Source organism: Homo sapiens, chromosome 6 (genome assembly GCF_000001405.40).
Source record: "Homo sapiens chromosome 6, GRCh38.p14 Primary Assembly".
In the NCBI taxonomy this organism is placed as follows: Eukaryota; Metazoa; Chordata; class Mammalia; order Primates; family Hominidae; genus Homo; species Homo sapiens.
The window spans coordinates 17,676,847-17,692,868 of NC_000006.12; the positions used below are offsets into that span (position 1 = coordinate 17,676,847).

Below are 16,022 nucleotides of genomic sequence, written 5' to 3' on the forward strand. Positions count from 1 at the left end.
CCAGAAATCCACAAGGGAGTGTCCAGTGAGCAGAGAGGCTGCACATACCTATATCAAGACCACCTAAGCCTTACGCAGCAGCTGCTATGGAGTTGAGAAAACAGAGATACTAGACAGTGTACCGTGCTAGGGGAAAAAAACAATGCTGAGGACTCTCAAGTTTTAGGGCTGCCAGAATTTAAAGATCTCATTACTAATGGCATTCAGCTGATGTACCAAAAGGTTCGCCCTTAAAAATAAGGAATAAGTATATAACTAAAATAAGACCTACTACAGATCTCTCCTAAAAAGCCACAGGGGAGACAGAGCTTGGAGGCTAAGGCCCACCACATTGGGAGGCTTAGGAAACACCCTGGACTTGTCCCCACAAATATACATTAATACAGCACAAAACTACATCTACAGAAGTTCAAAATTATCATTAACTGAACTGCCTGCTAAAAACAAGAACCAACACTCTTCAGAGGAAGATGACAGAACCAAGAGTCTCTACACATTATCATTCAAAATGCCAATATAGTAAAAACTCAATGTATAGAAAAAAGAAAACTGTGATCCATGCACGGGGGTAGGGGGTGGGGGAGAGTAGGTGTTAGAAACTTTAACCAAAGGTAGCAGACAAAGACCTTAAAACATTTAGCATTACAAGACTTTAAAGCAGCTATCTGGAATATGTTCAAAGTTCCTAAAAGAGCCCTTAAAATTATTTTGACTAGGATCACACTGAATTTAAGATTTTTAAGAAGAACTGATAGCATTCCCAACACTGCTTTCCTACCCACCTTTCCTTTGGTTCAGATCTCCTTTATGTCCCTCAGTGGAACTTAAGAGAATTTCTTCTTTTAGAGTGTCACACACTTGTTAAAGTACATAATTTTTTTTTTCCTTTTTTTTTTTTTTTTTGAGACAGTCTCACTCTGTCGCCCAGGCTAGAGTGCAGTGGCGCAATCTTCGCTCACTGCAGCCTCCACCTCCCAATTGTTTGATATTACAAATGGGATCCTTTCTTCTTTCGTGTTTTCTGACTACTGCTTAAATAAGAGAGTCGTTAGGTATTTTTCAATATTAACTTTGTGTCAATTGCTAGAGTTTTCTTATTCTAACACATTACCACATCCCCATAACTAATTACATTCTTAATATCTAGAAGTGGTGGTGATGGACTTCTACCTTATTCCCAACTTTAATAAGATTGCTTCTAATGTTTCACCATTAAATATGATTCTGGGCTGGGCACAGTGGTTCACACCTGTAATCCCAGCACTTTGGGAGGCCAAGGCGGGCAGATGACTTGAGGTCAGGAGTTCAAGACCAGACTGGCCAACACGGCAAAATCCCATCCCTACTAAAAACACAAAAATTACCCGGGCATGGTGGCACACGCCTGTAATTCCAGCTACCTGGGAGGCTGAAGCACGAGAATTGCTTGAACCTGGGAGGCAGAGGTTGCAGTGAGCTAAGATCTTGCCACTGAATTCCAGCCTGGTTGACAGAACCCTCTGTCTCAAAAAAAAAAAAAAAAAAAAAAAGATTCTGGCCTTTGGTTTGAAAAACTGACATGTTAAGGAAGTAACAGTTTCTAAACTCCAAATAGAAATAAAGAGTGAATTTTAAATTTTAGCAAATGTCTATTTACTAAAAAGCAAAAATAAGATCATTTTACCTAGTAACATGGTAAACTATATTAAACGCTGAATGATTACTTGCATTCCTTGATTAATGCTCTCCTCAGTAAGTATTTTGTGATGTGCTGCTAGACTGTATTTGCCATTCTGTAGTGTTCTTCTATGTGCTATCTTCCTAAAAAATTGTCTTGGCTGGACACAGTGGCTCACGCCTGTAGTCCCAACACTTTAGGAGGCCAAGGCAGGAGGATTACTTGAGCCCAGGAGTTCGAGACCAGCCTGGGCAACATACTGAGACTTCATCTCTACTAAAAATTTAAAAAGTCAGCTGGGTGTGGTTGCACACAGCTGTAGTCCCAGCTACTCAAGGAGGCTGAGGTGGGAGGATCACTTGAGCCCAGGAGTTCAAGGCTGCAATGAGCTATGATGGCACCACTGCACTCCAGCCTGACCAACAAAGCAAGACTATCTCATTTAAAAAAAAAAAAAAAATAAGTCTTAACAAATATTTTACAGCTTAAGCAATACAAAACAATTCTGGATTATTTAGTTCCAAAGTACTATAACAAAAAAAGCCAGCTGCAGATAAAAACACTCAACAAACTAAGACTAGAACGAAACTACAACATAATAAAGTAAAAAAACATGTTTGCAGATGATATAATCTTACATGTAAATAACAGTGAAGATTCAGCCAAAAGCTGTTAGAGCAAATTTAGCCAAGTACCAGGATACAAAAATCAACACAAAAAAATGTGTTTCTAGGCACTAATAATGAACAATCTGAAAAGTAAGAAAACAATTTCATTTATAATAGCATCAAAAAGAATAAAATATTTAGGAATGAACCAAGGTAAAAGATGTGCACATGGAAACTACAAAACAGTACCGAAAGAAAGAAAACAGAAATGGAAAAATATCCCACGTACATGGACTACAAGACTAAATATTGTTGGGATGTCAATACTATTCTAAGCAATCTACAGATTCAATATAACCTCTATGTAAATCCCAAAGACATTTTTGCAGAAATAGAAAACCCATCCTAAAATTCATATGGAATCTCAAGGAACCTCAAAATGCCAAAATAATCTTTAAAAACAACAAAAAAGTTGGAGGTCTCAAGCTTTCTGATTTTAAAACTTAATACAGAAGTACAGTAATGAAAACAATGTGGCACTGGTGAGAGAGAACAGGAGGTGGGAGGTAGTTTCTCCTTCACATATGTATTTTTTTCTTCTCTTCACAAAATCCACAAGACTACCTCGCTGATGTTACACATGCTAACCCTGAGGCTTTAGTCACAAAAAGAAAACAGCCATTCTTCGGTGCTCTCATAATAGGTAACCATACCTTTTAAAGAATTCCAGGAATTGCTCTTAGGAGATCCAAAATCAAACCAAGGTTGCAGAGAGTCCACCTCAGGAAGGAATGCGAAATAACTGATTTACAGCATTGTTGCCACCGGCCAGACCACTACTCAAGGTAATCATCGCAACCAGATATGCTGCCTTGCGTACCCTACCCTGCAGGTGCTTTGCCCAGCCCAGCCTGCATACCTTACCCCATGTCAATTCCTGCGCTTTGCCTAATAAAAAAAATTCCTACTGGCTTTTTCCGGGAAGCCAGGAAGAGGATCCTTGAGCCTCACCTCCACTGTTTCCCTTGCGCTCAAGCACAAGCCCTGAAATAAAAGTCCTGTCTGGGAAATCTGCTTGGGTCCGTGTTAATTTCCATTACATGGGAAACCAAAGAGCCTGTGGTCTGTAATACTGTAATAAAGACAGGCAATACAGACCATGGACGTGAACACAGGGCCCAGAAATAAACTACCATATATGATCAAACGATCTTCAACAAGGATTTCAAGACCACTCAATGGGAAAAGGACAGTCTCTTCATTAAATGGTTTTGGAAAACTGGATATCCACATGAAAAAGAATGAACCCTTATCTTGAACCATATACAAAAATTAACTCTAAATGGATTAAAGACCAAAGTATAACACCCAAAACTATAAAACTTATAGAAGAAAACAGAATTTCAGGACATGAGATTTGACAATGATTTATCAGATACAACACTAAAAGCACAGGCCATGGAAGCAAAAACAGACAAACAGGACTACATGAAATGTAAAAACTTTTATGCATCAAAGAATGTAATCAACAGAGTAAAAGGTCAACCTACAGGATGGGAGAAAATATCCACAAATTATATATGTGATAAGGGATTAATATCCAGAACATAAAAAGTACTCCAACCCCCAGTGAAAATGGCTTTTATCAAAAAGGCAATAATGGATGCTGGTGAGGATGTAGAGAAAGGAGAATCCTTGTACACTGTTGTTGGTGGGAATTATCAATTAGTACAGCCATCATGGAGAACATCATTGAGGTTTCTCACAAAAACTAAAAGTAGAACCACAATATGATCCAACAATCCCACTGCTGGGTATATATCCAAGTTAAAGGAAACTAGTATATCAAAGAGATAATCTGCACTCGCAGCACTATTCACAATAGCCAAGATACGGAATTGACCTAAGTATCCATCCACAAATGAATGGACAAAGAAACTGTGCTACATATACACAATGGAGTATTATTCAGCCATTAAAAAAAAAGAATTAAATCTTGTCATTTGCAACAATATAGATGGAACTGCAGAACATCACATTAAGTGAAATACACCAGGCACAAAAAGACAACTATCACATGTTCTCAAATGTGACAGCTTTAAAAAAAAAAAACGGACTCAAAAGAACTCATGGAAACAGAATAGAATGACGAATACCAGTGGGCAACTCATGGAGACAGAGAATAGAATGATGGTTACCAGAAGGCGGCTCATGCCTGTAATCCTAGCACTTTGGGAGGCCGAGGTGGGCGGATCACGAGGTCAGGAGATCGAGACCATCCTGGCTAACAGGTGAAACCCCGTGTCTACTAAAAATACAAAAAATTAGCCGGGTGTGGTGGCGGGCGCCTGTAGTCCCAGCTACTTGGGAGGCTGAGACAGGAGAGTGGCGTGAACCCAGATGGAGGTTGCAGTGAGCTGAGATCATGCCACTGTACTCCAGCCTGGGCGACAGAGCCAAGAACCTGTCTCAAAACAAAACAAAAATAAAAAACCAGAGATACTGTCTGGGGTTTAGAAATCTGCTGGTATAGGTATTTAAACCAATTAGCATTTACACATAATAAATATTTCAATTTATCTGCAATCAGGATTTACATACACATAGGTTGAAATGTTTCCCAGGGTATCAAGTATTCCAATATTACTGTAGTATATTACACTATGAACATGCTTTTTACTTATCCCATTCTCTCATCCCTGCATCAGTTTCTCCTATAGGAGAAAAGTGATAGGATAATTTTCTAACTCTTGGCAGACATCAACTAAACCTAGTATATACAGAAACCAAAGAGGAAAAAGAAATCCAACACAGGCCAGGTGTGGTGGCTCATCCCTATAATCCCAGCACTTTTAGGAGGCTGAGGCAGGAGGATCACTTAAGGCCAGGAGTTCAAGACCAGCCTGGGCAACACAGTGAGGCCTCACGTCTACTAAAAATTTTTAAAACATAGCTAGGCATGGCAGCACGCTCTTGTAGTCCCAGCTACCTGGGAGAGTGAGGAGGAGAATGTAAAGTGAGTCACACACGTTTTTGGTTTCCCAGTGCATACAAAAGTTATGTTTACACTACACTATAGCCTATTAAGTGTGCAACAGCATTATGACAATAAAAACAACATACCTACTTAAAAAAAAATTGCTAACAAATAACAATCTGCTGAGCCTTTAGAAAGTCATAATCTTTTAGGTGGTGTTAACAGGTCTTTGCCTCAATGTTGATGGCTACTGACTGATCAGGGTGATGAGTAGTGAAGGCTGGGTTGGTTGTAGCAATTTCTTAAAATAAGACAACAATGAAGTTTGCCTCATCGACTGACTATTCCTTTAACGAAAGATTTCTCTGTGGCATGCAATGTTTTTGATAGCATTCTAACTGCAGAATTTTCAAAATGGGAGTCAATCCTCTCAAATTTCGCTGCTGCTTTATCAACTAAGTTTATGTAATATTCTAAATTATTCTGTAATCTTAAAAATGTGCACAGTATCTTCACCAAGAGTAGATTCCATCTCACGAAACCACTTTTGCCAGGTGTGGTGGCTCACACCTGTAAGCCCAGCACTTCGGGAGGCTGAGGGGTGCAGATCACTAGGTCAGGAGCTCGAGACCATCCTTGCCAACACGGTGAAACCCCATCTCTACTAAAAATACAAAAAATTAGCTGGGTGTGGTGGCACATGCCTGTAGTCCCAGCTACTCGGGAGACCGAGGCAGGAGAATTGCTTTATCGCAGGAGGCTGAAGTTGCAGTGGGCTGAGATTGTGCCACTGCACTCCAGAGTGGGTGACAGAGCAAGACTGTCTCAAAAAAGAAGAAAAAAAAAAAAAAAAACACTTTCTTTGCGCATCCACAAGAAGCAACTCCTTATCCATTCGAGTTTGAGCATAAGATATTGCAGTAATTCAGTCACATCTTCATACTCCACTTCTAATTTTAGTTTTCTTTCTATTTCCACCACATTTGTAGTTCCTTCCTCCACTGAAGTCCTGAACCCCTCAAAGTTATCCATGGGGGCTGGAATCAACTTTCTCTAAACTCCTATTCATGTCAATATTTGGACCTCCTCCTGTAAATCACAAATGGTTTTTCTCCCCCAAATTAGCCTTGACTTGAAACTCAACAAATGTTCTTAATGTCATCTAGAATGGTGAACCTTTTCCAAAAGGTTTACAATTTACTTTACCCAGATCTATCTGAGGAATGACTATGATAGCTATAGCCATATGAAAGGTATTTCTTAAATAATGAGACTGGAAAGTCAAAATGCCTCCTTGATCCATGGGCTGCAGAATGGACATTGTATTATCAAGCATCAGAACAACATTAATCTCTATGCACATCTCATTAGAGCTCTTGGGTGACCAAATGCATTGTTAATGAGCAGTGTTGTTTTGCAAAGAATCTTTTTGTCCCCAAGCAAGAGGTCTCAACAACTGGCTTAAAATGTTCAGTAAACCATGCTGTAAATAGATGTGTTGTCATCCAGGTTTTGTTGTTTCAATTACACAGCACAGGCAGAGTAGATTTAGCATAATTCTTAGGAGCCCTAGGATCTTTGATATGGTAAATAAGCATTGGCTTCAACTTACAGTCACCAGTTGCATTAACCCCTAATAAGAGAGTTAGCCTATCCTTTGATGCCAGGCATTGATGTCTCTTCTCTGGCTATCAAAATCCTAGATGGTATCTTCTTCCAACGGCGGGCCATGTTTCATCTGAAAATATGTTGTTTAGTGTAGTCATCTGATAGTTTAGATGTTTGTCCCTCCAAATCCTATGCTGAAATTTGATCCTCAATGTTGGAAGTGGGGTCATGGGAAGTCTTTGGGTCATGGGGGCAGATTCCTCATGAATGGCTTGGTACCCTACCCAAGGTAGTGGGTTCACATGATATTTGGTTGTTAAAATAGTCTGGGACCTCCTTACTCTTGCTCCCTTCTCCCTCCATGTGACTGATATGCCTGCTCCCACTCTGCCTTCTGCCATGAGTAAAACCTTGAGACCACACTAAAAGCCAAGCAGATGCTGGTGCCATGCCCACACAGTTTGCAGAACCATGAGCCAAATAAGCCTCTTTTCTTTATAAATTACCCAGTCTCAAGTATTCCTTTATAGAATGCAAAATGGACTAATAAACCACCTTCGTCAGTGCTCTTAGCTAAATCTTCTGGATAACTTATTGCAGCTCCTACATCAGCACTTGTTGCTTCACCTTGCCCTTTTATGTTACAGAGACAGATTCTTTCCCTAAACCTCATGAATAAATCTCTGCTGGCTTCCAGCTTTTCTCCTGCAGCTTTATCATCTCCCTCAGACTTCACAGAACTGAAGGGAGTTAGGGCTTGCTCTGGATTACACTTTGGCTTAAGGGAATTTTGTAGCTAGTTTGATCTTCTATCTAAACCAACTCAAACTTTCTACACATCAGCAACTGGCTGCTTTGCTTTCATATTATCCTTTGTGTGTTTACTAGAGCAGCACTTTTAATTTCCATCAATAACTTTTCCTTTGCATTCACAAGTTGGCTAACTGGTGCAAGAGGCCTAGCTTCAGGCCTGTCTCAGCTGTCCACATGCCTTCCTCACTAAACTTACATACTTACAGCTTTTGGATAAAAGACGGGGAACTCTGATTTCCACTTGAACACTTAGAGGCCACTGTAAGGTTACTAATTAGCCTAATTTCAATACTGTCAGAGAATAGGGAGGCCCAGAAAGAGGGAGAAAAGAGGGGAATAGCCAGTTGGTGGAGCAGCTGGAACACACACAACATTTACTGATTAAGTTCATCATCTTATATGGGTGTGGCTCGTGGCACCCCAAAACAATTACAATAGTAATACCAAAGAGCACTGATCACCATGATAGATACATAATTTAAAAGTTTGAAATACTGCAAGAATTACCAAAGTGACAGACATGTTAGCGTGTGCTGGTGGAAAAATGGCACTGATCAACTTTCTTGACATGGGATTGCCACAAACTCAATTTGTAAAAAATGCAGTATGTGCAAAGTGCAATAAAATATGTATTTATAAAATTAATATTTAGTAAACAACTAAATTTATTTAGGACTGCCATATGTTAGCTTTCCAGAATCTGACACTACTTCAACAGCAGATATATAGTCATGTGCCACATAAGAACAGTCAACTAGTTGGGAGCGGTGGCTCACGCCTGTAATCCCAACACTTTGGGAGGCTGAGGAAGGTGGATCATGAGGTCAGGAGATCAAAACCATCCTGGCTAACACGGAGAAACCCCGTCTTTACTAAAAATACAAAAAAAAATAGCTGGGCCTGGTGGCGGGCACCTGCAGTCCCAGCTACTTGGGAGGCTGAGGCAGGAGAATGGTGTGAACCCAGGAGGCGGAGCTTGCAATGAGCCGAGATCGAGCCACTGCACTCCAGCCTGGGCAACAGAGCAAGACTCCGTCTCAAAAAAAAAAAAAAAAACTGTTATATAAACAGTTGTCCCATAAGATTATGAAGAAGCTGAAAAATCTGTATTCCCTAGTGACATCATAGCCATCCTAAGGCCTTAGTGCAATGCATTACTCAGGAGTCTGCAGTCATGCTAATGTAAATAAACTCAGTGTTACCAGTCATGTAAAACTAGAGCAAATACATTTATGTACTCTATAGAATACTATACTTGGTAATGATAATAAATGACTATGTAACTGTTTTATGTACTTACTATACCTTTTATCACTAGAGTATACTCCTTCCACTTACATTAAAAAAAAAAAATTGACTCACAGGTGGTGGCTCACACCTGTAATCTCAGCACTTTGGGAGGCCAAGGCAGGAGGCTCACTTGAGGCCAGTTGAAGCCCAGCCTAAGCAACAGAGTTTGACCTCGTCTCCACAAAAAAATTAAAAAAAATTTGCTGGGCGTGGTAGCACACGCCTATAGTCCCAACTACTTGGGAGGCTGAGGTGGGAGGATCGCTTGAGCCTGGAAGGTTGAGGTTGCAGTGAGCCATGATGGTGCCACTGCACTCCAGCCTGGGTAACAGAATGAGATCTTGTCTTTAAAAAAAAGAAAGAAAGAAAGAAAGAAAGAAAAAGCCAACTGTAAACAGCCTTAGGTAAGTCCTTCTGGAAGTATTCCAGAAGAAGGCATTGTTATCATAGGAGATGATAGCTCCATGGATGTTAATGCCCCTGAAGAGTATCCAGTGCGACAAGATGTGGGGGTAGAAAGCCATGATATAGCTGATACTGACTTTATGTAGGGCTAGGTTAATGTGCGCATGTCTTAATTGTTAACAAACCTTTTTTTTATTTCTTTTTTTTTTTTGAGACGGAGTCTCGCTGTCGCCCAGGCTGGAGTGCAGTGGTGCGATCTCGGCTCACTGCAAGCTCCGCCTCCCGGGTTCATGCCATTCTCCTGCCTCAGCCTCCGGAGTAGCTGGGACTACAGGCATGTGCCACCATGCCTGGCTAATTTTTTGTATTTTTAGTAGAGACGGGGTTTCACCATGTTAGCCAGGATGGTCTCAATCTCCTGACCTCATGATCCACCCACCTCGGCCTCCCAAAGTTCTGGGATTAACAAAGTTTTAAAAGTTAAGAAAAAAAAACAGTACTATAGAAAAAAAAAATTTTTTAAGTTTTTGAAGTAGATATCAAAATGCTGCCCACAACTTGCTTCTAAGTACATCAGGTGAGTTGGGGGTAGGAAGGTAGGGAAATAGGCGTGCGAATAGAGTATAAACAAGATCAACCGTGACTTGATTATTGTTGAAGCTCAGTAATGGGCAGCCGGGGGCGGGCGGCGGGGGAGGGGGGCGGGGAGTGGGGGGTGTCATTGTACTATCCTCTTTATTTCTCTAGGTTTAAAAATTTTCCATAATAAAGTTCAGAAGTTATACAAAAAAGCTTAAAGAATAAGGACATGTAACAGAAAATCCTCCTTATACATTTAATAATATAATGAATAAAATCAGTTTGAGTTGACCTTGGCATAAATTCATCCTGCTATTTTCATGAAAATACAAATATACATAAACTGTACAGAGAATAAGAAACTCTCCATGTCTTTCACACCTAAATTCTTGAAGTTAGTTAATCCTTTCAAATATGCTCATTAGGATAGAAAAGATCATTTCTACAGCTATCTTAGAAGACAGTCGCTGTGGATATACTAGAACTCTCTAACCAAAAGGAAACAAATCTCATAACCAGGAAACAGAGGGGGGAAAACAGAAAAAGAAAAGCCAGAGTCCCTTTCACTGGCCAGAAAAGAAAATAACACAGAGGCAGTCAGCTTAGAGATCTACCAGATAAAACCTCAAGATGGCTGCTGGTTATATATTTAAAAGCAATCTTGAAAAGTACAGACATTAAAACTTAAGTTACTCTAATAAAAGTAAGTGAACATTCAAAGAATACATCTAGTTGAACATTACTAAGAAAAATTAGGTTTGCCATTTCTCTAAAATAAAAACCATTCTTTCAGGGCCATTTCATTATCGCTATTTTTTACTATGGACAAATCAGGCAGGGAGATGTTACTAAGTACACCAAAATTAACAGGGCATACAACCAAATCAATTATTTATTTGAGACTTTAACATAGGGCTACAAAAAGTTTTGTAATTATGTATTTCAAAACATGTAGTGAAAGAAAAAATGTATATACTGAAAGAAACATACACTGAGAGATAAATTGGGCTTCATCGAAATTTAAAACACGTGCTTTAAAGGATAGGCTTGGCTGGGCACGGTGGCTCACGCCTGTAATCTCAGCACTTTGGAAGGCTGAGGCGGATGGATCATGAGGTCAGGAGATCGAGACCATCCTGGCTAACACGGTGAAACCCCGTCTCTATAAAAAATACCAAAAAAAAAATTAGCTAGGTGTGGTGGCAGGCGCCTGTAGTCCCAGCTACTTGGGAGGCTGAGGCAGGAGAATGGCATGAATTCGGGAGGCGGAGCTTGCAGTGAGCAGAGATCACACCCTGCACTCCAGCCTGGGCCACAGAGCGAGACTCCGTCTCAAAAAACAAAAAAAAGAAAGAAAAAAAGAAAAAGAAAAGAAAATTAAAACCCAAAATCCAACATCAGAGCTTGCAGTCTTAACTGATATAGTTTATCAACCTTCCTTAATAAATAAAACACTGATAAATAAAAAAGACATCCAATTTGAACCTGATTATCATCCTCTTCCCATATGGTTTATGTACCGCCTGATTAGATTTACCATAACTAGGTAGTGTCTTCAAAATTAGGGCATGAAAACCTATCATTCATGACAAAATATTCACATTTTACTTACCTTCTGTATTACTGACTGCTGGCTCAGGTGTGATTCTCCCATCAGTAATATTAGAGCTCTCCTCATCGGCATATACCAGATGGTCCTCTTTATTTTCTGGCCAGCGTGGAACCTCGCTTGTGTCTGTTGAACAGCTGCATACATCTTCATTCTTGTTGAAGTATCTTTGTAGCCACCCTGGCACAATATTCTTAACAGATTCTGTAACCCTGCTAAGAATGCCCTGTTGAGAGAAAAAACATATTATGACAGTTTTAGAAATTTATCTTTTTAAAATAAGTACCTACTCACTGAAAGCCAGGCCAAGCAAAACACAATGGTGTCCAACAAGTTTGCCAAAATTCAGTTACTACAGTTACTGCTAACATAATGGTTTTTACAAATTCTACAGATGTGAAATTCTTTCTTTCTTCTATATGCATACATAAGGCAATAATTGTCCCAAATGGCTGCATTATTCTAATCCTTAAAAAAACCCCAAAAGGCCATCAAATACTCAATGTCGATTTTAGATTTATTAATATGTAATACATGTTTTAATCTCAGAGAAAAGGCATCCATTTTTTCCCAGTATGTTAAAACATAAACAATACTTTCAATAGCTTTCTCAAGCAATTATTTTACTGCACATGCTTTAAGATAAATAAAAATTCAGACAACTAGAAATACAAGAGTTAAAAAAAAAAAATACAGGAACTAAAACAATCTGGCCAAGCGAGGTGGTTCATGCCTGTAATCCTAGCACTTTGGGGGACTGAGGTGGGCAGATCACCTGAGGTCGGGAGTTCAAGACCAGCCTGACCAACATGGAGAAACCCCATCTCTACTAAAAATACAAAAAATTAGCAGGGCATGGTGGCGCATGCCTATAATCCCAGCTACTCAGGAGGCTGAGGCAGGAGAATCACTTATATCCAGGAGACAGAGGTTACAGGGAGCCCAGACTGCACCATGGCACTCTAGCCCGGGCAACAAGGGCAAAACTCCATCTCAAAAAACAAAACAAAACAAATAAACAAACAAAAAAAAACAATCCAACAAAAATAAACTCAAGAAACAATCTAAAATCTTTTCTGATGTTGACATTTCACTACAGCAAATGTTGGCTGAAAATCTCAGTGATTAATTTTATTACGGTAACTTCTTTTTTTTTTTTTTGAGACGGAGTTTCACTCTTGTTGCCCAGGCTGGAGTGCAACGGTGCGATCTCGGCTCACCACAACCTCCGCCTCCTGGGTTCAATGGATTCTCCTGCCTCAGCCTCCCAATTAGCTGGGATTACACCACACCCAGCTAATTTTGTATTTTTAGTAGAGACGGGGTTTCTCCATGTTGGTCAGGCTGGCCTCAAACTCCCGACCTCAGGTGATCCGCCCACCTCTGCCTCCCAAAGTGCTGGGATTACAAGCATGAGCCACCGTGCCCAGCTATTATGGTAACTTTTCAAAGAAGAAAGGGAAAGTAATGTGGTATAATAGCTTTCACTATTATTTTTATTGTAGTTTGGCTATGTGCTAGACACTATTCTAAGCAATTTATACATATTATTTAGTTTAATCCTCACCATAACTTTATGAACTAATATCCCCACCTTATGGATAAGACAAACAATGAAGTTAAATAACTTGCCCAAAGTAGAAACACAACTACCACAGTATATCTAAGACAGAGTAAAAGTATGGGCTTTGGGCTCATGCCTGTAATCTCAGCACTTTGGGAGGCTGAGGTAAGTGGATCACGAGGTCAGGAGATTGAGACCATCCTGGCTAACACAGTGAAACCGCGTCTCTACTAAAAATACAAAAAATTAGCCAGGCGTGGTGGCGGGCGCATGTAGTCCCAGCTACTCGGGAGGCTGAGGCAGGAGAATGGCGTGAACCCGGGTGGCGTAGCTTGCAGTGAGCCGAATGTGCAGTAAAATAATTGCTTGAGAAAGCTTGCAGTGAGCCAAGATCTCCTGGGCGACAGAGCGAGACTCCGTCTCAAAAAAAAAAGTATGGGCTTTGGGATTGCCAGGACCTAGGGTAAAATTGGAGGACCTCCCTGTACTTTGATTTACTCTAGGTAAAATAACACTGCCTCCTATTATTTATAGTAATTATAATGAAAATCAAATGAAATAATGTGAAGGCATGTATCAATTTACAAGGTATAACAGAAACATACTGAAAACTTTTTTACTAACAAGGAAAAAAGCTGGCAATAAACTGGGGTAAGGTAACCGATTTTAGGCAACAATTTATTTCACGAAGCAGATTTAGTAGGATTTCAAAGAAAGAGTCAAAGAAAGGAAAAAAATGACTCAGTAGGTACAGAAAACAATAAAATCAAGGCAGAATATATAAATCTACCTAGAAGGGAAACTCAAGACAGAGGCCTTAAAATATCCTGCCAACAAAAAAAATGGAAGACATTTCTGATACAGGCACTTGAATAGTAATTTCCTTACTATGTGAAAAGGTAGCCGGGCGTGGTGGCTCACGCCTGTAATCCCAGCACTTTGGGAGGCCGAGGTGGGTGGATCATGAGATCAGGAGTTCAAGACCAGCCTGACCAATATGATGAAACCCCGCCTCTCCTAAAAATACAAAAAAAAATTAGCCGGGTGTGGTGGTGTGCATCTGTAATCCCAGCTACTCAGGAGGCTGAGGCAGGAAAATTGCTTGGAACTGGCAGATGGAGGTTGCAGTGAGCTAAGATCACGCCATTGCACTCCAGCCTGGGCAACAGAGCAAAAGCGAGACTCCGTCTCAAGAAAAAAAAAGGAAAGGTATAGGTAGCAACTGGGAAGCATGTAATTATTCTTCCATGTATTGTGCAAATTTTCAATAGATCTACAAGTAAGCTCTCTATCAAACACATGAAGCCAAGTTCTAGAACACTAACTACTGAACAACACCAATTCACTGTTCCCTTTTTCTTTGCTAATATTACACAGTATTAGTTACTATGGAAAGAAAGCCTATATACCTATATCCAATATTTAATATTTGTAAAAACACACCTAATACTAGTTACTTATCCCATTTCCATACTTCAAGACTTGAAAGTGTTTAAAAGCTATAATACAGTTTAAGACAGACTTAAGGCTGGGCGTGGTGGCTCATGCCTGTAATCTCAGCACTTTGGGAGGCCGAGTCTGGTGGATCACTTGAGGCCAGGAGCTGGAGACCAGCCTGGCCAACATGGCAAAACCCCGTATCTACTAAAAATACAAAAATTAGCCAGGCATGATGGTGCATGCCTGTAATCCCAGTTACTAGAGAGGCTGAGGCAGGAGAATCGCTTGAACGTGGGAGGCAGACGGGCCATTGCACTCCAGCCTGGGTGACACAGCGAGACTCCAGCTCAGAAAAACAAAAAAAGACTTAAAAACAAAGACATACTTGATATAGGTGACAGGCTAGCTAAAGCACTATAGCAAGAATTTTTTTTTTTCCAGAGACCTGTGTCATACCAGGTAGAGTGCAATGGCACGTGATCATGGCCCACTGCAGCCTCAAACTCCTGGGCTCTCATCTCAGCCTTCCAAGTAGCCAGGACTACAGGCCGACTACCACATCCAGCTATAGCAATTCTAGAATTTAATGTAGATTTAAAAATTTTTTGGGGGACTTCAAGTAAGGTGTTTAGCTACTAAACGTATCAGAGATTCCTGTGATCCCTATCCATCTGGAAGGCAAGTATAGAACAACTTTAAATTGGCTCCACCCTCACTCATAGATCCCTCATGTGGCAACATTAGGTATCTTCAAAAACAACTGGAAAACATAACTGGTCAAAGTGGATATAATAAAGCTCACTCACTAAAATACATGAACTTAGATTACAGACCGATTTTCTATACTAAAATTTAACCAACTTAACTAGTCTCAGCCCAGAAGAGCTTAATAGAGGAACAGTGAGACAGAGACATTACTAGTGGCACAGTGAATGACAGCATGAGGAGTAAAAAGGAATGCAGGCTATATTAGCTAGAACTGTGGCACAGGCCTGTAGTCTTAGCTACTTGGGAGGCTGAGACAGGAGAATCACTTGAGCCTAGGAATTCAAGGTTGCAGTCAGCTATGATTGTACCACTGCGCTCCTGCCTGGGTGACAGAGACCCTGTTTCTAAAAACAAAAAGACAAAAAGAAAGGAGGGAGGATGGGAAGAAGGAAGGAAAATAATAAAATGGACCTGGAACCAGTATGAAGGAACAAACATCCTTGTGTTTCAATACCCTAATATACCTTTGTAGGTTAAATGACCCTAAGTCATTAAGAAAAAGTTAAATTAAGCTTAATATAATTGAGTGGTCCTCAAAGTGTGATCCCTTTTTAGCAGTATTATCAGCATCATCCCAGGTCCTTCTCCAGCCCTTAGTAGGATAATCTCCAGAGGTAGGTCCCACCTGTTTTATCAAGCCCTCTGAAGTGATTCTAATATTGGAAATCAGATACATTTCAGGAAATTAAGATACATTTTAGAGA

General features: G+C 40.2%; 1 protein-coding gene across 3 annotated transcripts in view, besides 1 other annotated feature; it reads right to left on the bottom strand.

Moving 5' to 3' along the window:
• The window catches only part of NUP153 (nucleoporin 153), a 91,889-nt gene that overhangs the window by 61,810 nt on the left and 14,057 nt on the right, over positions 1-16,022 (bottom strand). For all 3 annotated transcript variants that reach the window (NM_001278210.2, NM_005124.4, NM_001278209.2), the window contains exon 2: positions 11,550-11,772. In NM_001278210.2, coding sequence (NP_001265139.1) covers positions 11,550-11,772 — 223 coding nt within the window. The remainder of the gene's footprint in view (positions 1-11,549; positions 11,773-16,022) is intronic.
• Positions 8,630-9,129: an enhancer, noted in NCBI's record as "H3K4me1 hESC enhancer chr6:17685707-17686206 (GRCh37/hg19 assembly coordinates)". NCBI's record gives its function as "activates a minimal SCP1, AML or CMV promoter by ChIP-STARR-seq in primed H9 embryonic stem cells {active_cell/tissue: H9 hESC(primed)}" and the evidence as "EXISTENCE:reporter gene assay evidence [ECO:0000049][PMID:30033119]".